The sequence below is a fragment of the Homo sapiens genome, chromosome 4 (genome assembly GCF_000001405.40).
Source record: "Homo sapiens chromosome 4, GRCh38.p14 Primary Assembly".
Classification (NCBI taxonomy): domain Eukaryota; kingdom Metazoa; phylum Chordata; class Mammalia; order Primates; family Hominidae; genus Homo; species Homo sapiens.
Genome location: NC_000004.12, coordinates 63582608 through 63608970, shown reverse-complemented (window position 1 = coordinate 63608970; position 26363 = coordinate 63582608).

The following is a 26363-nucleotide window of genomic DNA, read 5'->3' as shown; positions in this document are numbered from 1 at the left end:
TTCTTAAATTTGTTAAGATTTGTTTTATGACCTAATATATGACCTATCCTGGGAAATGTTTTGTGTGCAATTAAGAAGAATGTGTATCCTGAAGCTATAGGATAAAATGTTCTGTACACATCTGTTAGGTCCATTTGGTCTGTGGTGCAGTTTTATGTTCCTTTATACTGATTTGCTGTCTAGATAATCTGTCCATTGTTGAAAGTGAGGTGTTGAAAGTTTCTACTATTACTGTATTTGCAGTCTAACTCTCATGTTAAATCTAGTAAAATTTGCTTTATATATGTGGGTGCTCTGGTTTGGTGTGCATATTTTTTTAATTGTTATATCTTCTTGTTGAATTGATTCTTTTATCATTATGTAATAGCCTTTCTTGTCCCTTTTTACAGTTTTTGACTTAAAGTCCTCTTTATCTGACATAACTATAGCTACTGCTTGTATTCGGTTTTCACTTGCATGAAATATCTTTTTTCATCTCTTTGCTTTTAGTTTATGTTTGTCTTTTACAGTGAGGTGAGTTTTTTGTGGGCAGTATAAAACTAAGTCTTTTTTAAAAAATTCACTCACCCACACTGTATCTTTTCGTTACATAATTTAATTTACTTATTTTCAAAGTTATATTAGTAGGTAAGGACTTACTACTGACATTCCAAAAATTGTTTTCTGATTGTAGATCATTTGTTCTTTTCTTCCTCTCTTGTAGATTTCCTCTATGATTTTGTAGTTTCCTGCAGTGCTAAACTGCTTTCTTTTCCTCATTTGTATATTTGCTGTTATTTTCTTTGTGGTTACCATGTGGCTAATACAAAACGTCTTGTTGTTTTAATAGACTAAGCTGAAAACAACTTAATTTTGGTTGCAAAAAAAAATACTTTAGACTTTTCTCCCACGCAGATCACTTATATTCTTGTTGCCCTAATTTACATTTTCATCTATAGTGTGTTTCTTAGTCACTGACTGTAGCTATTTTTTTGAGGGGGGGCCATTTTGACGTTAAATTTTTATACTAGAGGTTTGAAAGTGTTACAGAGCACCATTTCAGCTCTGGGACATTCTGAGAATAATTATGAATTTATACTGATGAGTTTTATACTTTCATGTGTTTTCATAATATATATTATTCTGTTTCCAGTTATAGCAGTACTCTAAACATTTTATATAAGGCCATGGTGTCATGATTTTGCTGGGGTAGGGTCACCAGGTTGGTTGCTGCTCTGAGGACATGAGAGCTAGCAGTCTCTTTAAGGTGGCAGGGCTGCCACCAGAATAGCTCTTACGCCAGGCATGAGAACATTTGAGCCAGGCTGCCATGCGTCGTTCTGTCTTTGGAGGCAGAGTTGCCACCGGGGCATCTATAAGACTGGCTGTAGAAACAAGCATGTGGAGGCCAGGGTGGCTGTTAGATATCACTGTGCAGGTTCACCTGTTTTCCTTTTGGATAGGGTGCCAGTGTCTCAGTTGTTCTTTGGGGCTAGGCTCTGGGAGGCCTCGGTAGTGGTGTTGCAGGCACCCCTCTGAACACAGTAGAATGATGACGGGACCTCAGAGATGGAGGTGTTCAGTGGCTACTGGCTACCTCAGCAAAATGCACTCCAGCTGCGGCTCTTGTTTGTAAAGGGCACCATGCCAAAGAAGCTTAGGTTGCCAGGGTGGCGACTGCAAAGAGGGTTTCTACTCTGTGACAAAATGCAGTCATTTGGACTCTTAATTGTACAAGCTGGATTCTAGGGCTGTGAGGACTGAGAAACCCTCCCGTAGAAGAATGTTTGCATTTTAAACAGCAATGTAAACTATTGAGGGCCTCCAGCTTATTTTTTTTTTATTCTATAAAAAAGTTCCTCTTGGCTCCAAGCCAAACATAGCAGGGGAAACAGTGGCAGAGGTAGGATGCTGTTTTCCTCTCTGTGGATCTATCCTGGGCTTCCATGCTCTACATGGATTTCACTGCTCCCCTGGTGCTCTTCCATCACTCCAGTTTAAATATAGTTGTTTATTTGTTGTTCTGCTCCCTTTCTGTGGGGAGAATGAGAAACAGGTAATTCTAGTTGGCCATCTTGCTGATGTCACTCTTTCTTTCTTAAAAGGTACCTCAGAGTACCTTATGATCAAATGATTTAGAGACACATTCATAAACAAATAAACATAGAATAGAGATAGTAAGGGCTGGGCGTGGTGGCTCACGCTTGTAATCCCAGGCACTTTGGGAGGCCGAGGCAGACTGATCACTTGAGGTCAGGAGTTCAAGACCAGCTTGGCCAATATGGCAAAACCCTGTCTCTACAAAAATACAAACATTAGCCAGGCATGATGACAGGTGCCTGTAATCCCAGCTACTTGGGAGGCAGAGGTGGGAGAATCGCTTGAACCCGGGAGGCGAGGTGGTAGTGAGCCGAGATCACGCCTCTGCACTCCAGCCTGGGCAACAGAGCAAGACTCCATCTCAAACAAGCAGATAAACAAGAAATAGTAAGTCTTTAATGTCTTAATTACAGTCAAATTTACTCAGTAGATTAGTAGAAAGAATACTGGATTTGTCATCATGTTATCTAGTTATTTGACCTACTTTAATTACTTACATATTAAGTGTTACCTTGATTATTCCATTCTAATGAATACCTTCTCAGAGTTTTTTTCTAGAAAGTTGTGATGTAACAAGATTTCTGATTCAATAATCTTAGTAAAGCATTGAGTTTTATTATTACTTTCCTTTATTTGAATTTAATTTCTTTATATTCTCTCTCTCTCTCCCTCTCTCTCCCTCATTCTCACTCTCGCTCTCTCTCCCCCTCTCTCTCCGTCTCTCTAAATAAGAGCATCTCAGGAAGATTATTTGTCTAAGATTCAGGATGGGATCAGAATATATTTTATAAGCTTACAGTTAAAACTGGGAGATTTAGGGCAAAATGTGGAACAATACTAATCATTATTATTGTATGACAAAACACAAGCAGGGACAGCCCTAGAAACACTGGTATACTTTATGACTCCAGTTAAAGACACAAAGGGCAGAAGAACTTGGCTATCACCAAAGAGTTTTACATAGACAATCAGAGATTTGATTCTACAGAAAAATTGCCAATGAGAACAAATTTTTTACAGTGAAAGATATGATCCACATTAATGATGATACCCATTCACATGGCCACATTTTATCAAAAACATAGTCTATCTTAATCTCTGGGACTTTAATATTCTCAATGTAATTTATATTACATTATTAATATTCTCAATGTAATTTATATTACATTATTATTATTAAAGAGATGCATTTTAAACATTTTTATAGATTTGTAAAATAATAAATTAAGTACCATATACTTTAAATACCATCTACTTTCCATGAGGATCTGAAACAAAGGGATTACAAATGTGACTCCTATTCTTTGCCAGAGAACAATATTCATTTGAAAATTCTACAAATGCTGTATTTACCAGGTTGGCAATGATAAATAACTGAATGAACAGATAAAAGCTATTTTTTCTTTTGAAAATTGAATGTACTGCTCATATTATGGAAGGAACTTAAAAGAAGAGAGATAAAGACGTTGCAGAAATAGAGAAAATACCACTGCATAAAATGTTGCTTTAGGATTTTCTGTGCTTATTGTAATACATACAGAAATTGTGAATTAGTGGGAAATTTTGTTTATAACCAAATTTTATATTCAACTTTGAGTATTCTAGAGAAATCTTATTTATTTACCCTGATTACGGTTCTCCATCTCTATTTTTGTGTACCCCTATATGCTTATTATGCTTGCAAATCATAATCTCCCTATAGAAGACACTAAGGTATTTTATATTCATATCAACATTCCTTATTTGGCAATATCCTTTCTTTCATCCTTTAAATTTTATTTAAAATCTTAATAAATGCTCTAATCTTAACCAACTTCCTTTCAATCTAAAGAACTAGACCTTGGATATTTTAATATTATGAAACTATGAGCAACACCCATTTTCATTACATTATCCAAAATTTTATGGTGCGCCTATATATCAAGTGCTATGGTTTTATATTAGAGAGCAGTAATAAAGACAGTAGAAAATAAAATCTCACACCTCTTGAGGCTTATATTGTATGGACCAATCAAGTGGGCTTTGTTTTTCTGTTTCCTGTAGTTAAAAGATACCCGTATTCTACAAATACCGTATTTTCACGATTTTAGTCAAACTCATGTATGTTCACCTAAAATTTAAAGCATTTTAGCACTTTCTACCAACACTTAAGTAATAATTTTCAACAAGCAATTTATTTCACAGATATTCAATACCCTTAGGAAAAGAAAGAGTATAGTACTTAACGCAGTTTACAAAGGCTTCCATCAATACATTATTTTTTTCTCTCTCCTAACTCATTTCTTTCTGCCTTCCCCATCAGTATGTCACATTTTATGCTATAAATATATTGAAACTCTTTGAGTCCTTTGTAGTTCTGATATATAATGTAATCTTTTAAGTTCAGAACTTTATGTGTATTTGCTGTATTTGCTCTGACAGAGTGAAAAACTACATTAACACATATGTACACACATGCACATACACAAATACACATAATCATTACTGGTCTGACACATTTTAACATATGCATACTTTAATTCCAGATATATTCTAATGTTTCCATAGTGTCCTGTACTAACATTTTCATAGCATTTTCCCACTGTATTTGCATGTTTTCCTTTATCTGTTTGGGTCTTTTAGTGAACTTTCAGTCCTGTGACGGATAACTTCATATCTACCTTATTCACAATGTGTCTACCTGGACTTGCTACTTGTTTTCATATAACTCTCTATGCAAAAGGTGGAACCTTAAGTCACAAGTTCCTTTATTATGCTCAGTAGAATGTTCTAAAATTACCAGCCTTCTTTAAAACATCAAAAATCTAGTCACTGGAAATATGAACTAATCTATAGCTATTAATTCTTCAAATGTAAGAATCAACAGAAAACTGAGGAAAAATTAAGCATATTATACTATTATTATTGTTTTTAGTTACAGATATAGTTTGAGGATATTTATATTTGGAATTACAAACCTATTTTAAATGCATCAAGAACCTCAAACATTTTAAATCCATATTGCAAATAATACTTCAATGTGGATTTTTTTAATCTATGTTCCTAAGGTATTCTAAAGAGATATTTAGTGACCACCATGGCTATAAATTAAGCCTATCTATATTTTGACCAGAAGATAAATTTAAAATGTATCAAATCTGAGTAAGATTTATCAAAAAACATATTTGCCTGTACATTGGACCATTATATATTATAATGTTTAATAATATATATAATTATTAAGCTATATATATAGTTTAATGCTTATTAAACTATGTATGTTTATATTACATGTACAAATATATTACATATATTGTAATATATTACATATATATTATATGTACATATAATATATTTGTACATATATGTACAAATAATATAGTACAATATATTACATATATTGTAAATGTAAATATATTCATAAACTCCAATACTGAATATGGAGACCAGACTAATGTATTGGGCACCAGGAAATCTAAGCTAAATTTTAATTTTACCACATTAATTTTTTCTTGCTATAGCTCATTAGAAGAGCATATAATGCTTGTAACTTTTTGAGGTTCTTTCATTTATTTAAAAATTGTGAGATAGTTAATATCTATATCATTAAGGATTATATCAAACAAAATATCTACTGTTTACATACTAAATACACAAGAAATCCATAATTAGAATTTATATTTGTTATATTACCACATTTTTAAAAAGAATTTTTTTATAAAATAAATAAATTACATTCCACAGGGAAGATAAGTTTGTAAAGAAGGTCTGTTTTCTTAGGTTTTATCATGTTTTAATAACTAAAATAAGAATATCAGATTAGACACAGGTACTAATTCTATCAAGTCTTCTCAAGTGAGAAATAAATGATATTAAAACTGCTTCCACTCATAACTTATGACTGTTCGTTACCACTAAATAGTGATCATATTTGCATGTTTATATAGATGGGACTCAAATAGTTTTATTTTTTACTTACATGTACAACTGGTAAATTTTACAAAGTTAAATATAACTGTTGAAGATATAAAATGGGATACTATGTCTTCCTACCAGATTGATGAATTAAAATTCTTCAAGATGTTCTACATGAACATTGTTGCATTTTTATTTGCAGTTCTGACACCAGCACAAACAAAATGAAGGCATTTTCTCAAAGATCTAAAAACAGAAATGCTATTTGACCCAGCAATCTCATTACTGGGTATATAAGCAAAGGAATATAAATTATTCTATTATAATGCTATATGTACACATGGTTTATTGCAGCACTGTTCACAATAGCAAAGACATGGAATCAATCTGAAAGTTCATCAATGATAGACTGGATAAAGAAAATATGGCACATATACACCATCGAGTACTATGAAGCCATAAAAAATAACAAGATCATGTCCTTCGCAGGGACATGGATAGTGTCGGAGGCCATTATCCTTTGCAAACTAACGCAGGAGCAGAAAATGAAATACCACATGTTCTCACTTATAAGTTGGAGCTCAATGATGAGAACACATGGACACATAGAGGGGAACAACACACACGGGGGCCTATTGGAGGGTAGAAGGCAGGAGGAGGGAGAGGATCAGGGAAGCTAACTAATGTGTACCAAGCTTAATACCTGGGTGATGAAATAATCTGTACAACAAAGCCCCGTGACCCAAGTTTACATATGTAACAAACTGGCATATATAATCCTGAACTTAAAATAAAAGTTAAAAAGCAAAAGATTAAACATAAAATAAGAAAACAATTATAAAAATTATTATATAACTTTTGAGTAGGAAAACCTTGCATTTGGTGCTATATTTATCATTAGATGTTTAACACAAAACTCATTGGTTGAGAATCAAAATATTCCAGATCTTACATGTTTACTGTGCCATATTTTTCAATGATCATGAACAGAAGGAATTATTCCATTGTAAATTAAAATAAGGTTGGCTCAAATAAGTCAGAAAGATTTTTTTTTTTTTGAGATGGAGTCTTGCTCTGTTGCCCAGGCTGGAATGCAGTGGCACGATCTCGGCTCACTGCAACCTCCGCCTCCTGGGTTCAAGCGATACTCCTGCCTCAGCCTCCTGAGTAGCTGGGATTATAGGCACCCAGCACCATGCCCAGCTAATTTATGTGCTTTTAGTAGACACGGGGTTTCGCCATGTTGGCCAGGATGGTCTCTAACTCCTGACCTCAGGTGATCTGCCCGCCTCAGCCTCCCAAATTGCTAGGATTACAGGCTGAGCCACCGTGCCCGGCCTATTTTTCTTTTTTCTAATACTGCATTGTGAGTATGAACAAGTCAAATTCAAATGTTAACATACCTTACCAAATAGTCTATTCTCTTGAAATTCTGTCTCTGAATAAACTAAAAATGTTTATATATATTATATATATACTTATATACATTATATAAAAGAGCAACAAAATCATGTTTAGAAATCTATTTAATTGCTGAAGTAGTAAAATCTTAAGTGAGCTGAATTCCTCAGTGAAACAAACTTTTCCTAGGAGAATAGGGACCCAAGCTACTTTAATCCTTAAAGCAGCCCAGGTGGAAAAAAAACAAAAACAAAGAAATAACATAAGTAGGAGGATTTAAACCTAAGAGGAGGAAATAAGTTAAACTTTAGAGTCTTACCTGGGCTGATTGGACAGGTTAGAATCCTCAGGAGCTGAGTAACAGAATTCTCATTTGCTCGCAAGAGAGCATAGGGAAGGTACAAAATGAAGTCTGGTGGCCAGAGAAGAGATCAAAGAAAGATTACCTAGATCACCTTGGCATATCAGTCTACAAAATATACCCCATGGAGCCTTCAAAAGAGAATGGTGATGCTGCCCAAAGACTGGAAGGAGAGCAAAAGAAAAAGAATCAATCTTCCAAGACACACAAACTAAGAGCTAGGCTGGAGAGGAAAGAGCTGTCCAGAAGCATCAAACACAGGTAACTAAACTGTAACTGAATTGTAAAGAAGACAGGTAGAGAGAGGGAGCTCTCCTGAGTCCTCCAACCTCTAGAGAAAGCAGAGCTCTAATTTTGCCATTGAAATAGTTGAACCTGATGGCATTAAAAAATCTAAAAAGAAAACACAAACCAGGCCTAAGTTAAATGAAGATTTGCAATGAAGCCATCAGCTCCTACCTCAGCAACTTTTAAAAAAGGAGGAGGAGAAATAAAAACTATTTCAACTTCTACTGTTCTTCAATACACAATAACTGACATAAAAAATAATAAAAGCAAATAAGTAACCTTATAAATGTTTAAAAAATACCTCACAATGAAAAAAAGGAAAAGATCAATCCAACTCATATATGACCATAATGTCTGAATTGGCAGATACAACTTTAAAATAATCTTCATAATTAACTTGGTACATGTACAGGAACAAGGTTAAAAAGTGTGTTAAAACTGATTTTATATTTTAGACTAATTATAAAATAACCACATAATTAAATATGAATTAGGACAGAAAATACAATATCTGAAATAAAGGATTCATCACTGCATTTAATGGGGAATAGATATGGATTGTTTAAGCTCATTTGAAGAAAAGGATAACAGAAATTATACAACCTAAAGAAGAGATGAAAAAAGAAAAAAAACCTTAACGTTATTTGAGAATGGCTGGACAATTTCAAATGATCTAAAGCACATGCAGTTGGAGTCCTGGAAGCAAAGGATATATACTATGAGGCAGAAAAATATTTGAGAAATAGTCACAAATTTTTCAAAACTCATGAAAGGCATCAACCCACAGATTAAAAACGTAAATAAATTCACACATGCACACGTGTGTGCACACATACACAAACTCACACACACACACATCTTAAAAAGCAAAATATCACTTCTCAGTCTTTTGGTTAAGAACAAGCATAAGAAGCTAAACAAAGAAGTGAAATCCTAAAAGCAACCAGATAAACAAAATTTAATTACCTTTAAAGAAATAACAGTACAAATATTGGCTAACTTTATATCAAAGGCAACAAAAAGTCAGAATACAATAAAAATATTTTTAAGTAATTTTCAGTGGGGTAAAAACACCTTTTCTTTGAAATTTGCTGATGTAACTAGCTATATATGGGAAGCAATTAATTTTGACTATTATATGATACAATTCACAGTAATTTAAAAATTATCAAAAAACTAAATTCAATGGAGTCATGAGGGCAGTTACCTCTATGTTGTTCTCAAGTGAGTTTTCACAAGATCTGATGGTTTTATAAGAGACTTTTTCCCCTTTTGATCGGCACTTCACCATGTGAAAAAGGACATGTTTGCTTCCCCTTCTGCCATAATTGTAAGTTTCCTGAGGCCTCCCCAACCCTGGAAAACTGTGAGTAAATTAAATCTTTTTCCTTTATAAATTACCCAGCCTCAGATATTTCTGAATAGCAGCGTGAGAACAGACTGATACATTATGCGGCCACAAAAAATAATAAAATGACTCCTTTGCAGCAACCTGGATGGCACTGGAGGCCATTATTCTAAGTGAAATAACTCAGAAACAGACAGTAAAATACCATATGGTCTCGATCTCCTGACCTCGTGATCCACCCACCTTGGCCTCTCAAACTGCTGGGATTATAGGCATGAGCCACCATGCCTGGCCTGGAACTGTTCAAGTGAGTGTATAGGACTCAGAACCAGGGAAGGGCCTTTTCAGCAGTCATCAATAGCTACCATATTCTAACTAGAACATTTCTGCATCAAAATTGTGCTATAATTTTCATCCTTGGTTTCGTTTCCACATAGGCTTCCCATATTTTATAGATGACTTTATTTATGATTTCCAAAAAAAAAAAACCCTATTTAGTACATTCCTGATACATTAGTAAGAGGTACTTTTTTAGAAATGTAAACATCAATCCCCGTTGCTTTTTAGTGAAGACCACTGTACCCTGAAATGCGGTATATAACACTACATAGATGAGAAAAATAGACAAAGTCCTCATCCGGCTATAAAATGTCAAACTGAAAAGATCTCAAAGACAGAGAGTGCATAAAGAAATTTTATAAAGTCCTGTGTGAAAACGCTATGTCTCCCAAGGAATCCATATTCTTTAAAAATGGTCCAGTCAGCAAGAGAGTGGGAGATTTTCTGTATACTTAATAGCTAAGACAGTCAATACTGTTTGGGAACTACCATTAGAAAAAAAAAAGATAATGATTACAATTTGACAGAAAATAAAGCTGATGAATAAGCCAATTTCAAAACCTCTCAGGCTAGTGGTAAATCTCTTGATCTAAATTAAATGGTGTAAGCTCCACACTGCCAAATGACACAATATTATAACTTCTATTTCTTTTTATAGTACATTTCACTTAGATTTTTACAGAAAGATGTTATGAAAAAATTTAAAGAATACATAAGTATTTCACTGACACAAAAAGATCACATATTTATAATAAAAATGCCAGATTCTCACTCTAAATTATATTCCATATGATAACTGTTTTTCTAAACATGGAAGTTTGTGTTCATATTTTTAAAGAACAAGTAAGAAAAGTTGGCACCTCTTCAAGACTGAATCCTTTTGCATCACAGAATATTTCTTAGTATTATATCTATGATAGTAAATAAGTGAAAATTCAAAAAGAAAACAGATGAATAAAACTTTACTAGAGAAAGCAAAAGTATATTACTAACTCTTGTAAAACATTTAGAGCTGTCTCATGTGAAAAAAAATAAAATAAATGAAAAGAAAATGTGACTTGTAAGGCAGTGTCTTTGATCCGAACATACTTTGTAAGCATATAACATTTTGGAAAAGGTATAATGTTAGTGATAATCCATGAAAATATTTATCTACTTTCAGATGCTCACCACTATCTATCCAGAAAAGCCAGTTAATTTTCTTTGTAATAAAATATTTTTGGTTGATTTTTTAATGGAATTGAAAAGGACAATGAGGTATTTATTTTCACCACACATCTTAGAGAACACGTACCATTTTATTTTATTTTATTTATTTTATTTTATTTATTTTTTTGAGAGGTTATCTCACTCCGTCACCCAAGCTGGAGTGCAGTGGCATGATCTTAGCTCACCGAAACCTCTGCCTCTCAGGTTCAAGCAATTCTCCTGCCTCAGCCTCCCGAGTAGCTGGGACTACAGGTGTGCACCACCACACCCAGCTAATTTTTGTATTTTAGTAGAGAGGAGGTTTCACCTGTTGGCCAGGTTGGTCTCCAACTCCTGACCTCAAGTGATCTGCCCGCTTCGGCCTCCCGAAGTGCTGGGATTACAGGCATGGTCCACCACACCCAGCTGCACGTACCATTTTAAAATTATAAGTTGTTTATTCATTATAATAATTTCCTATTTTTCTATATTTGTTAGCATGTTAATTTAGGATATTCAACAATTATTTATGCCCGCTAAACTAAATTTTTAAAACCTTCCCCAAAATAATTTTTCTCTTCACTAAAGAGGAATCTTAAGTATGTTATCTAGAAGAACTAGCTCTATAAGTCTCTCAAATTTGATTAACACATAAAATATATTTACAATAATCATGTATTGGTTATTTTTGCTCTAAATTATGTAGAAACAAATGGAGTATTTTAAAGACAAAGATTTACTCTGCTTGCTGTTTCTTTGGTTTCCCTATTCAAGTTAAACTGGAATAGTTTTTTTGGAAGTATGCTAACTACCATCATCCAGGAATGAAGTTAGGGTTTTATAAAGCAAAGCAAATTCTTTCAGTATAATCACTTGGTTTCAGATGATGCTACTATAAAGTGCCTATTTCCTCACTTTTGGCTCTACCGCAACAATATTTTTTGGACATCTGAGGATGTGTGTATTTGTGTTTGTGTATCTCGAATCAATTGATTGTAAGCATCCATGTCTAATACATATTTAAAACATGCCAACTCAAAAAATGTATATATCCAGCATGTGTACTAGGCCAAATGACATTTCCAGCCTGGGATCAAGAATGGGTGAGTATGTTGACTTGGACACAATATTTGGCTGGGTCTTTCATTTTTTTCCCTGCCATAACAACAAATAATCATACCACACGTTTGCATTGTACAAAAATACTGATGGATGGGCATGTTTTCTTTTTTATTGTTCATTGAAGTAACCTCTAGTTACTGGTGTGTTAGCATTAAAAGATAAGTTTGGTTAGGATGGGAGGAAGTTAAATCATAAGTTCCCTTTTTCTTATATCACTAGTCATTTCAACAACCTGAAAGAGTTTATACCAACATACCAAATAACTATTCTCCTGCTCAGTGATTTAATTCATTGAGTCCCAAAGTTAGCATTACTGCTCTTATATTTTAACAATCCTGGGGCAATTTCTTCTTAACTATGTTCAAAATACAATGTCAGAATATTCCATTCACAGCTACAGAGGTCACTTGTAGGCAGGCTTGAAATGCATAAATAAAAGGATTTGCAAGTGGTTTAATAACTTGAAATAAATCATTCACAGAAATTATTTTTCAAAAGTTTCATTTATTTGAATTTATTGCATCTTAATACATGTACGTTATGTATATAATTTGATTATATAGAAAATTTATTGACTTTTTGCAATAATGATGTAACATAATATTTTATAATTATCCACACACACATCTATATCTTTATAGAGCTAAACATGAGTTCATATTGAAGTCTCCAATTTTAATTCATTACTACATGGGTCATTTTTCTTTTCTCACCTCGTTTATCTATGAGTTCCCAATCCCACAGTGACAAACCTGACTCCCACTATCCCCCATTCTTTTTCTTAATCATTTCATTACAATAAAAATGTATGGCACTGTGATAATTGTTAACCTATTCTTCTTTAACTACTTTATCAACTAGAGTATGATGCTTATGTGCAGTTTCTTTTACATCTATCATGACAGACGACTGTCATTCCCAAAGTTATTTATGCCATTATCCCTTCTTCCATGACCTCCAGTGAGATTTTTTAAACTTTTGTAGTACAGCTAGTTTTGTTGTCTCAGGTTGTATACACACATTAAATTCATTCTTTCTGCTATGAAGTTCTTTGGATATTGATGAAGTCCATAAAGTCTTGTGTCTAGTACTATAGTATCCTACATAATAAATTAGCTGCCTCCAAAGCACCTGCATTTTAGTTATTCATCCCTCGCCCCAAATCCCTATCGATCACTAACACTGTTTTTGTTATTTTTTAATTATTATTATACTTTAAGTCCTGGATATATGTGCACAACATGCAGGTTTGTTACATAGGCATACATATGCCGTGTTAGTTTACTGCACCCATCAACTTGTCATTTACATTATGTATTTCTCTTAATACTATCCCTCCCCCAGACCCGCACCCCCTGACAGGCCCTGGTGTGTGATGTTCCCTGCCCTGTGTCCATGTGTTCTCATTGTTCAACTCCCACCTATGAGTGAGAACCTGAAGTGTTTGGTTTTCTGTCCTTGTGATAGTTTGCAGAGAATGATGGTTTCCCACTTCATCCATGTCCCTACAAAGGACATGAACTCATCCTTTTTTGTGGCTGCATAGTATTCCATGGTGTATATGTGCCACATTTTCTTAATCAAGTCATCATTGATGGACATTTGGGTTGGTTCCAAGTCTCTGCTATTGTGAATAGTGCCTCAATAAACACACATATGCATGTGTCTTTATAGTAGCATGATTTATAATCCTTTGGGTATATACCCAGTAATAGGATTGCTGGCTCAAATGGTATTTCTAGTTCTAGATCCTTGAGGAATTGCCACACTGTCTTCCACAATGGTTGAACTAATTTACACTCCCACCAACAATGTAAAAGCGTTCCTATATCTCCACATCCTCTCCAGCACCTGTTGTTTCCTGACTTTTTAGTGATCACCATTCTAACTGGTGTGAGATGGTATCTCACTGTGGTTTTGATTTGCATTTCTCTGATGACCAGTGATGATGAGCATTCTTTCATGTGTCTGTTGACTGCATAAATGTCTTCTTTTGAGAAGTGTCTGTTTATATCCTTTGCTCACTTTTTGATGGGACTATTTGTTTTTTTCTTATAAATTTGTTTGAGTTTTTTGTAGATTCTGGATATTAGCCCTTTGTCAGATGGGGAGATTGTAAAACTTTTCTCCCATTCTGTAGGTTGCCTGTTCACTCTGCTGATAGCTTCTTTTGCTGTGCAGAAGCTCTTTAATTAGATCCCATTTGTGAATTTTGGCTTTTGTTTTCATTGCTTTTGGTGTTTTAGTCATGAAGTCTTTGCCCATGCCTATGTCCTGAATGGTATTGCCTAGGTTTTCTTCTAGGGTTTTTATGGTTTTAGGTCTTACCTTTAAGTCTTTAATCCATCTTGAGTTAATTTTGGATACAGTGTAAGGAAGGGATCCAGTTTCTGCTTTCTATATATGACTAGCCAGTTTTCCTAGCACCATTTATTAAATAGGGAATCCTTTCCCCATTGCTTGTTTTTGTCAGGTTTGTCAAAGATCAGATGGATGATGTGTGGTGTTATTTCTGAGGCCTCTGTTCATTCCATTGGTCTACATATCTGTTTTGGTACCAGTACCATGCTGTTTTGGTTACTGTAACCTTTTAGTATAGTTTGATGTAAGGTAGTATGATGCCTCCAGCTTTGTTCTTTTTGCTTAGGATTGGCTTGGCTATGTGGGCTCCTTTTGGTTCCATATGAATTTTAAACTAGTTTTTTTTTTTCTAATTCTGTGAAGAAAGTCAGTGGTAGCTTGATGAGGAGAGCATTGAATCTATAAATCACCTTGGGTAGTATGGCCATTTTCATGACATTGATTCTTCCTATCCATGAGCATGGAATGTTATTCCATTTGTTCGTGTCCTCTTTTATTTCGCTGAGCAGTGGTTTGTAGTTCTCCTTGAAGAGGTCCTTCTTATCACTTGTAAGTTGTATTCCTAGGTATTTTATTCTCTTTGTGGTAATTGTGAATGGGAGTTCACTCAAGATTTGGCTTTTTGTCTATTATTGGTGTGTAGGAATGCTTGTGATTTTTTTTCACATTGATTTTGTATCCTGAGACTTTGCTGGTGTTGCTTATCAGCTTAAGGAGATTTGGGGCTGAGATGATGGGGGTTTTCTAAACATACAATCATGTCATCTGCAAACAGAGACGATTTGACTTCCTCTTTTCCTCATTGAATACCCTTTATTTCTTTCTCTTGCCAGAGTGCCCTAGCCAGAACTTCCAACACTATGTTGAATAGGAGTGGTGAGAGAGGGCATCCTTGTCTTGTGCCGGTTTTCAAAGGGAATGCTTCCAGTTTTTCCCATTCAGTATGATATTGGCTGTGGGTTTGTCATAAATAGCTCTTATGATTTTGAGATACAGTCCATCAATACCTACTTTATTGAGAGTTTTTACCATGAATGGTTGTTGAATTTTGTCGAAGGCCTTTTCTACATCTATTGAGATAATCATGTGGTTTTCGTCATTGGCATTGGTTGTTTATGTGATGGATTACGTTTATTGATTTTCATATGTTGAACCAGCCTTGCATCCCTGGGATGAAGCTGACTTGATCGTGATGGATAAGCTTTTTGATGTGCTGTTGGATTCTGTTTGCCAGTATTTTATTGAGGATTTTCACATCGATGTTCATCAGGGATATTGGCCTAAAATTATCTTTTTTTGTTGTGTCTCTGCCAGGCTTTGGTATCAGGATGATGCTGGCCTCATAAAATGAGTTAGGGAGGATTCCCTCTTTTTCTATTGTTTGGAATAGTTTCAGAAGGAATAGTATCAACTCCTTTTTGTACCTCTGGTAGAATTCAGCTGTGAATCCATCTGGTCCTGGACTTTTTTTGGTCGGTAAACTATTAATTATTGCCTCAATTTCAGAACCTGTTATTGGTCTATTCAAAGATTCAACTTCTTCCTGGTTTAATCTTGGGAGAGTGTATGTGTCCAGGAATTTATTTCTTCTCGATTTTCTAGTTTATTTGCATAGAGGTGTTTATAGTATTCTCTGATGGTAGTTTGTATTTCTGTGGGATGGGTGGTGATATCCCCTTTATCATTTTTTATCGCATCTATTTGATTCTTCCCTCTTTTCTTCATTAGTCTTGCTAGTGGTCTATCTATTTTGTTGATCTTTTCAAAAACCAGCTCCTGGATTGATTGAATTTTTGAAGGTTTTTTTGTGTGTTTCTATCTCCTTTAGTTCTGCTCTGATCTTAGTTATTTCTTGCCTTCTGCTAGCTTTCGAATTTGTTTGCTTTTGCTTGTCTAGTTCTTTTAATTGTGATATTAGGGTGTCAATTTTAGCTCTTTCTTGCTTTCTCTTGTGGGCATTTAGCACTGTAAATTTCCCTCTGCACACTGCTTTAAATGTGTCCCAGAGATTCTGGTACATTGTGTATTTGTTCTCATTGGTTTCAGAGAGCATCTTTATTTCTGCCTTCATTTTGTTATTTACCCAATAGCCATTGAAGAGCAGGTTGTTCAGTTTCCTTGTAGTTGTGCGGTTTTGAGAGAGCTTATTAATCCTGCGTTCTAATTTGATTGCACTGTGGTCTGAGAGACAGTTTGTTGTGATTTCTGTTCTTTTACATTTGCTGAGGAGTGTTTTACTTCCAATTATGTGGTCTATCTTAGAATAAGTATGATGTGGTGCTGAGAAGAATGTATATTCTGTTAATTTGTGGTGGAGAGTTCTGGAGATGTCTATTAGATCCACTTGGTCCAGAGCTGAGTCCAAGTCCTGGATATCCTTGTTAACCTTCTGTCTCATTGATCTGTCTAATATTAACAATGGGATGCTAAAGTCTCCCATTATTATTGTCTGGGAGTCTAAGTCTCTTTGTAGGTCTCCAAGGACTTGCTTTATGAATCTAGGTGCTCCCGTATTGGGTCCATATATATTTAGGATAGTTAGCTCTTCTTGTTGAATTGATCCCTTTACCATTATGTAGTGGCCTTCTTTGTCTCTTTTGATCTTCGTTGGTTTAAAGTCTGTTTTATCAGAGATTAGCATTGCAGCCCCTGCCTTTTTCTTTTGCTTTCCATTTACTTGGTAGGTCTTCCTCCATCCCTTTATTTTGAGCCTATGTGCATCTTTGCATGTGAAGTGGGTCTCTTGAATGCAGCACAGCAATGGGTCTTGACTCTTTATCCAATTTGCGAGTCTGTGTCTTTTAATTGGGGCATTTAGCCCATTTACATTTAAGGTTAATATTGTTATGTTTGAATTTGATCCAGTAATTATGAAATTAGTTGGTTATTTTGCCCGTTAGTTGATGCAGTTTCTTCCTAGCATCGGTGGCCTTTACAATTTGGCATGTTTTTGCAGTGGCTGGTACTGGCTGTTCCTGTCCATTTTTAGTGCTTCCTTCAGGAGCTCTTGTAAGGCAGGTCTGGTGGTGACAAAATCTTTCAGTATTTGCTTGTCTGTAAAGGATTTTATTTCTCCTTCACTTATGAAGCTTAGTTTGGCAGGATATGAGACTCTGGGTTGAAAATTATTTTCTTTAAGAATGTTGATTATTGGCCCCCACTCTCTTCTGGCTTGTAGGGTTTCTGCCGAGAGATCCACTGTTAGTCTGATGGGCTTCCCTTTGTGGGTAACCCGACCTTTCTCTCTGGCTGCCCTTAACATTTTTTCTTTCATTTCAACCTTGGTGAATCTGACAATTATGTGTCTTGGGGCTGATCTTCTCAAGGAGTATCTTTGTGGTATTCTCTGTATTACCTGAATTTGAATGTTGGCCTGCCTAGCTAGGTTAGGAAGTTCTGATAATATCCTGAAGAGTGTTTTGTAACTTGGTTCCATTCTCCCCATCACTTTCCAATACACCAGTGAAACATATATTTGGTCTTTTCACATAGTCTCTTATTTCTTGGAGGCTTTGTTCTTTTGTTTTCATTCTTTTTTCTGTAATCTTGTCTTCCTGCTTTCTTTCATCAATTTCATCTTCAATCACTGATATCCTTTCTTCCACTTGGTCAAATTGGCTATTGAAGCTTGTGCATGCATCACAAAGTTCTTATGCTGTTGTTTTCAGCTCCATCAGGTCATTTTAGGTCTTCTCTACACTGTTTATTCTAGTTAGCCATTTGTCTAACGTTTTTTTCAAAGTTTTTGCTTCCTTGCGGTGGGTTAGAACATGTTCCTTTAGCTCAGAGAAGTTTGTTATTACTGACTTTCTGAAACCTTCTTCTGTCAACTCATCAAACTCATTCTCTGTCCAGTTTTGTTCCCTTGCTCGTGAGGAGCTGCGATCCTTTGGAGGAGAAGAGGAGCTCCGGTTTTTGGAATTTTCAGCTTTTCTGCTCTGGTTTCTCCCCATCTTTGTGGTTTTATCTACCTTTTTGGTCTTTGATGTTGGTGACCTACAGATGGGGTTTTGGTGTGGATGTCTTTTTGTTGAGGTTGATGTATTCCTTTATGTTTGTTAGTTTTCCTTCTAATAGGCTTCTCAGATGCATGTCTGTTGGAGTTTGCTGGAGGTCCACTCCAGATTCTGTTTGCCTGGGAGAAGCTGTAAAACACCAGCAGAGGCTGCAAAACAGCAAATATTGCTGCCTGATCCTTCCTCTGGAAGCTTCGTCCCAGAGGGGCATCTGCCTGTTTGAGGTGTCTGTCGGCCCCTGCTGGGAGGTGTCTCCCAGTCAGGCTACATGGGGGTCAGAGACCCACTTGAGGAAGCAGTCTGTTCATTCTTGGAGCTCAAACACCGTGCTGAGAGAACCACTGCTCTCTTCAGAGCTGTCCGACAGAGACGTTTAATTCTGCAGAAGCTGTCTGTTGCCTTTTGTTCTGCTATGGCCTGCCCCCAGAGGTGGAATCTAGAGAGGCAGTAGGCCTTGCTGAGCTGTGGTGGGCTCCAGCCAGTTTGAGCTTTCCGGCCACTTTGTTTACACTGTGAGCTACTCAAGCCTCAGCAACCGCGGACACCCCTCCCCCATCAAGCTGCAGCATCGCAGGTTGATCTCAGACTGCAGCGTTAGCAGTGAGCCAGGCCCTGTGGTCATGGGACCCACCAATCCAGGCATGGGAGGATATCTCCTGTTCTTCCGGTTGCTAAGACCATGGGAAAAGCACAATATTTCCTCAGGAGTGTACTGTTTCTCCAGGTACAGTCTGTCATGGCTTCCCCTGGCTAGGAAAGGGAAATCCCCTGAACCCTTGCACTTCCCAGGTGAGGCAATGCCCCACCCTGCTTCAGCTTGCCCTCCATGGGCTGCACCCACTGTTCAAACAGTCCCAGTGAGGTGAACCAGTTACCTCAGTTGGAAATGCAGAAATCCCCTGTCTTCTGCATCAAACTCTCTGGGAGCTGCAGACCAGAGCTGTTTGTATTCAGCCATCTTGGAACTCACTAACACTTTTAACACCTCAATTATTTCACTCTTTCAATAATGTTGTAAAGTTGATATCAATGCAGTTGTTCATCTTTCAAACTGATCATTATACATTTATATTTCTTCATATTTTTATTGCTTTCTAGTATATTTCTTGTCATTGCAGAATAATATTCCTTTGTGCAGATGTACCACAGTCTATAGTTCCATTTGCATTTGAGGGACATTTTGATTGCTTTCAGTTTGGACGTTATGAATAAGCTGTTATAAATGTAAGCATATAAGTTTCTGTTTGAATAGTTTTTTAACCAATTAAGTAAGTATCTAGGAGAACAAATGGAGGATCATATAACAAAACTATATTTAGCTTTGTAAGGGACTGACAAACTGTCTTCCAAAGTGTATCATTTTGCATTTTCACAAGCAATGAATGAGAATTTCTTTTGCTCTACATTCTTACCAGTATTTAGCATTGTCAGGTTTTGGGGATTATAACCATTTTATGTAGTGTGTGGTGATGTCTCATTGTTGTTTTAATTTGCAATTTTACAATGACAAGTGATAATGAACATCATTTTTGTTTAATTACAATCTGCCTATTTCCTTTGGTAAGAAGTCTGTTAAAGTATTTTGCTGATTTTAATTGATGTTTTGTATATTGATAGTGTCATTTCTCCAGTTTTTTTCCTCTTTATTGTTGCATTGGATCCTTTGGGTATTTTTTTCTTTGAAAGTAACTTTAAAATTAGTCTTCCAAAATTTACAAAATAACTTTCCAGGATTTTCATTGGTATTGTGTTTAATCCATAAATTAAGATGGAAAAAATTATACCTTAATATTAAGTATTTCATTATATGACCATGAATAACATTCCATGTTTTTAGACTTTCTTGGATTTCTCGTATCAGTTCTAGTTTTCCACATATAGTTTTTGTATGTATTATATTTATACCTAAAATATTCATTTTGTGACACTATTGTAAATGACATCTTGTGTTTAATTTAAAATCCCAATTGTTCATTGCTGGTGTATAGAAAAGAGGTTAGGCAATAATAGTTAAAAGACTATGCAGAATTTGGGTGATTGGAATTGAAGAGAATTCTTTGTGAATGTAAATGAACAGTGGTGGCCTACTGGTGGGTTACAGAAATCCCCATTTGTAAGATTTAAAAAGCAGGTAGAAATGTGTGTTCTCTTCCTATAATAGTATTCTATAGAAGTATCATGTTCCCAGAAAAATAAATAAGTATGTCTTATATCTATGGAAAGCATTAGATAGATGCAAATTTTCACTTACTCTTACATGGTGTTGGAATATTCCCATGTGAATGAGAAATTTCCCATGGGAATAAGAGATCCATGGAAAGAAGTACTGAGAAATCAATGGTTTTTGAAGTATTGAGAAATCAATGAGCTGTCACAAAAAGAAATGATGGGTAGATGAAATAGAGTCAAAGATGACCTGTGATTTAGCAAATATCAGCCTCTAGGAATTTTATGGTGTGCCTGAGAAAATGGAGATAAGGCAATAGTTGATAGCAATGTTTTATCTCTTTAGAATGTGCATTACATATCTTTCCTATTGCAATTTACTACTGTGTCTAGAAAGAATTTATTCTCAAAAAACTCATCAGCATGAAAATTTTGATTTTTGCTTTGCTTTCTCGATTCCAAGTATAATTAAAAATTTTAAAATCACAATCTACTTGAAAACAAAACTGGTTCTTTGGTTTACTTCAAAACAACCCACTTTTGAGGGTTTTTTTTTAAGTAGTTAGTAAAGATAATATTGATGTGGTTTACAAATACACAAATGTCTCTATAAAATAGAAATATTTGTCTTACCAGTGTTCTTTTAAGGTGTCTATAATACCTAGTATTCTTTCACATTTTGCACATAGTTTGAAATGTTTATTATGTTGATGCTACCAAGATACCTACCATTTATTTTCCAAAACTATATATACTAGGAAAAGTGTATTCAAAATAAGATATAAATTTCATTCAGCAAAATGGCCTAAAATGTACCCTTGAATCTATGAGCCATGCTATGGTACACATTTGTCAATGTTTTACAGAACATGAATTATTTAAATAACCCTCAGTTTCTAAATATGCCACAAAGATAAATAAGAAGTAATCTTACTACAAGCAACATTTGTATAGACCTCCCACTGTCTGAAAGCTGGACCTCTTTAATATCCCAAACCATAAATGATTGGCTAATGCCACCTGTTCAGCAATTTCAAAGCCATTCATTTGTACAAAATAAACAAGCATAAAATAAGCATGCTCTTGCAGAATATATAAAAATATACTCTAATGAGAAGTATCAGCAGAAAATAAGAAAGGGGAAGCCATGATCTTAAAACATAATTTTGTCAAACAGCTAATATAGTATATCCATTGCAAACTTCATAAATACGACTTTCTTTTCTGAATACACCACAGTTTGAAAATGAAAGGCTTTTAGATTGGATAGATCTCTCATTTTCCAGGTGTGCTATGTCTGAAAAGATATTATTTATTCTCTAAACATTTATTTCTGCATCATTAAATAATTCTTACTTCATGTTTCTTGAAAATATTGAATAGTAAAATTAATGAAGAAATGACTAATTACTGGGATAATAGAAAACTTCAATAAATGTTAGCCATTTTAAAAATAAATCTTGTAAAATGAGTTGCCCTAAAAAACGTCTTACCACACCATACATATATATTTTCATCATCATGCATATTTTGTGAAGTTCCTTGAACAGAGATTAATTAATTTTAATAATTGATTGTGTCATTATAAATACTGTTAGAATTAAAATACATATTTTAAATTGCTGTAACTGAGTACCAAGCCATTTATTAGTGTAGAAGAATGACCATTCTATGCTTTTAATTTCTGTGGTTCAGGAATTTGGGCAGGGCGCTGCTAGAGAGCTCTCTCTTGGGATGCCTAATATTCGGTTAAGTGTCAGCTGGGGCTACGATGATCTGAAAACTTTAGTATGGGCATCCATCATGGCTGGCAAACAAGGCTGGAGGATAATGCCTTCTGTTATCCAGAAACTCTGCCAGCACTCTTGACTAGAGCACAAATACATGGCCTCTTCAGCCTGGCAGTCTCAGAGGATATGAATTTCCCCAGAGAAAATTTATAAATATAACCAAGTAGAAGCTATAAGGCTTTTTATCCTAGCTTTCAAAGCCATAATGACCACACTGTAGTCACAAGCCATCCCAGATTCAAGAGGAGACAACATAGATTATCATATCTGAATTGGATAAGAGGCTGGTTTAAATTGTTAAAGTATATGGAGGATGGAACATAGACATGACCCACTTCTGTCTATGAGGTCATCTTTCAGAAAAAAGTTATATATTCGTTTCTGTTCTCTGACTTGCTTGGGGAAGGTTCAAGTTTTCTGATGAGCCAGGCCTGTGTTTATTTGGTCACCTGTACTGTGATCAGATAAGTAAGTATATATAATTCAAGAGTGAAGTATTAGGAGTTTTAAGGAACACAAATTTTATAAAGAACAGATATAGAACATGTCCCAATTAATTTTGTTTGTAATACTCTATCAATCAATACATAATATTTCAGAATAATGTTATTGAGAAACAGGTACCTGAAGAAAATCTTTCATTTTTCAAGAGAATAGAGAGACAAAATAAAGAAATAATGTTTAAAACAATTAACAGAAGAAACACTAACAAAAATAATATGAAACAGAAAAAGGTTTTAAAATATTTATACAAAGTAAAAGAAAATATGTGAAAATTTTAAACATGTTTGGAGATGAATTGCTTCTTTTATTTTGTCTTTACATTTTAAGAGCTTATTAACCGCTATAAAAAAACTACTATAATTTTTGATATAAAAAAGAAACTAGGCATTCAGTTCTTGTAAGCATATTTTTACAAAATACAAACATTGCTTAAAACTGCAAAATATTTTCTACTACTTAGTGAAGCAATACTACCATCATAAGCAACACTTAGGTACTATAGCTGCATTATATCCCCTTTAAAAAGAAACTCAGTAAATGAAGCTTAAAAATTGTATGTAACAATATATATGTAGATCCAGAAAACCTCATCCTAAAACATTAGGTGTAGATATAATTTGTAATTCAGATTTTTTTGAATTTCAGAAATAGAAGTAATATGTATGTGTACCATATGTTATATAATACAACTTTTAGAGTCTAGGAAATCACCCCTGTATCAAACATATTCATGTTTCTTCAAATAAATTTATGAGTATTCACAAATATAGAATAAAATTACATTAAATTCAAGTCAAATCAAATTTTGTAACATCAGTAATGAATACTTTTTTTCAGAATATTATTGTTTTTGGATTTTTAGATGAGAAATTATAGGTCTGGATATATAAAGTAGTCTCTCTTTCTTTCAATATATATACTTGTATGCGTGTGTGTGTGTGTGTATGTGTGTTTATTCAATATAAGTTTATGGATGTTCACAATATATAGAATAAAAGTACATTAAATTCATGTTAAATCAAATTTTATAACATCAGTAATAAACACTTTTTGTCAGAATATTATAGTTTTTGGATTTTCAGATAAGGAATTTTGAATATATATACATTGAATATATATATATATATATATATACACACATTCAGAAACATACTTTTTGTTTTCTTTTGTCATTTATATCTAATTTATTCTTAAATAGTGAATACATCACATATATATTTAAGGTGTATAATATATGCACTATATATGGTTATGTATATATGTGTATGTGTGTATATATATCTATACAGCTAATGGAAGAATAAAACAAAATAAAAGTATAAATATACACATTTTAGAAATAACATTAGAAAAACAAATTTTTAGCGAAATTAACCATAGGTAAATTTGAATTTTGCTCATATTGGTAATAGATCATAACAGATTGTAGGATGGGTCCCTAGATAGCTTTGGCTGTCACAGTTCTTGTCCCTCCTTTTTGCAATTATTTGAATGCTTATAGATTTTAGTATAACTGCAGTATATACCAAGGATGCAACATAATGAGGTAAGGGGGAAGTTTCTGGAATATCCCAATATCCCAGGCTGTGTTAGCTCATTTGCATTGCTATAAAGAAATACCAGACACTGGGTTTATAAAGAAGAGGCTTATTTGGCTCACAGTTCTTCAGGCTATACAGAAGACATAGTGCCAGCATGTGCTTCTGCTGAGTTTCTTAGGAAGCTTTCAGTAATAATGGAAGGCAAAGGGAGCCAGCATGTCACATGGCAAGAGAGAGAGCAAGAGAGATGAGGAAGTTCCAGGCTCTTTTAAACAACCAGATCTCATATGAAGTCATAGAGTGAGAACTCACTCATTACTATGAGAACATCTCCAAGTCATTCATAAGAAATCCAACCACTAATCCAAACACCTCCCGACAGGATCCACCTCCAACGTTGAGAGTGACATTTCAACATGAGATTTATTACACCTGTAATTCCAGCACTTTGGGAAGCTGAGACAGGAGGATTGCTTGAGCCCAGGAGTTCAAGGCTGCAGTGAGCTAAGATCTGCCACTGTAGCCTGGGCAGCAGAGTGAGATCCTGTCTCAAAGCATGAACAAAGAAACAAACAAACAAAACCATGAGATTTGGAAGGGACAGACATCCAAACCATATCACAGTCTATGTCCTTATTCCTCCTATGGCAGGATATTCTGCAACACTCAAGTATATAACCAAGTATATATTAAACCAAGTATATAACCCCAGTACAGAGTGCTCTTTGGGGCCCCTGAGCTGTGGCATGACATGGGGCATGTGCAGACAAGATTCCATCTACTCTGGTTAGCATGCCTGAGCCTTCAGAGACTAACTCACTAAAAATCCTAGGCTTTTACTGTCCCTTGCTGCCTATTTATGAGTAATAAATTTACTTCCCTTAACTTGTACTGTCGATGTTCTGCCTCACTGGGCTTACGAAAACAGTAAAAATTGTAGCCCAAGATGCAGTGGGCTGAAGTGGTAATCTCTGCACAGTGAACCTGTTTCACACACACACACAAACTGCATATGAATATTATAGAAGTTCATTCATATTCATCAACAAGTAGAAGCAACCTAGATATTCTTCAACAGCTGAATCTATGAACTGTGGTATAGCCATACAATTAGATATTATTCTGAGATAAAAATAAATGAATATTAAGCAACATAAACAACAAAATAGATGAATCATATATAAATGTATTGATAAGTGAAAAAATAGTCTGAAAAGGCTACTTACTGTATGATTCCAATTATTCAATATTTTGGCAAAGGCAGAACTGTAACTATAGTTAAAGGATTAGTGGTTGCCAGACACAATTCCATCTGCCCTGGGCATCTTTCCTGAGCTTGGTGGATTGGCTTGCCATGGATACTAGGCTTCTGTTTATCTCTGCTGTCTCTCTATGAGTAATAAATCTGCTTTGCCTGAGTGCTCTGTCTTTCTGAACTCATGTAACTGGTAAAGAACCTTTGCACAGGTACATTAAATTAGGTAAAAGGAGAATTTTGTCAAGTTATGATACTATCTAATCTATGACAAGTTTCATTTTAGCATGAGTGAGTTTAGGCAAATTACCAAAACTATATTTTTTTTCTTTGAAATAATAGTTTTACATTCTAAAATGAGAATGTTGGATAGATAAGCTCTCAGTTTTTTTATCTAAAATTTTTTGACAGGGTTATCATAACTACTGTTTCAGAACATGTGACTTTAATCATGTTTATTAAAATAACCACTGCAAAATGAAAACAAATCTGGATTTAGATAAGGAAATTTTAATTAGAAATACTATTGCGATAAGGAGAATAATTCAAAGTTAAGAAATGCAAGCATTTCAAATCGAACAGAAAGATTCATTCAATTTATAGAAGGAGCAGGAAGTAAATAAGGAGAAATTAAGAAAACGGGGAGAAATTACCAGCAGGGTAAGTCAGGAAAAGTGTCTCCCTGTGGCCAGCCTATTCTCAAGATCGGC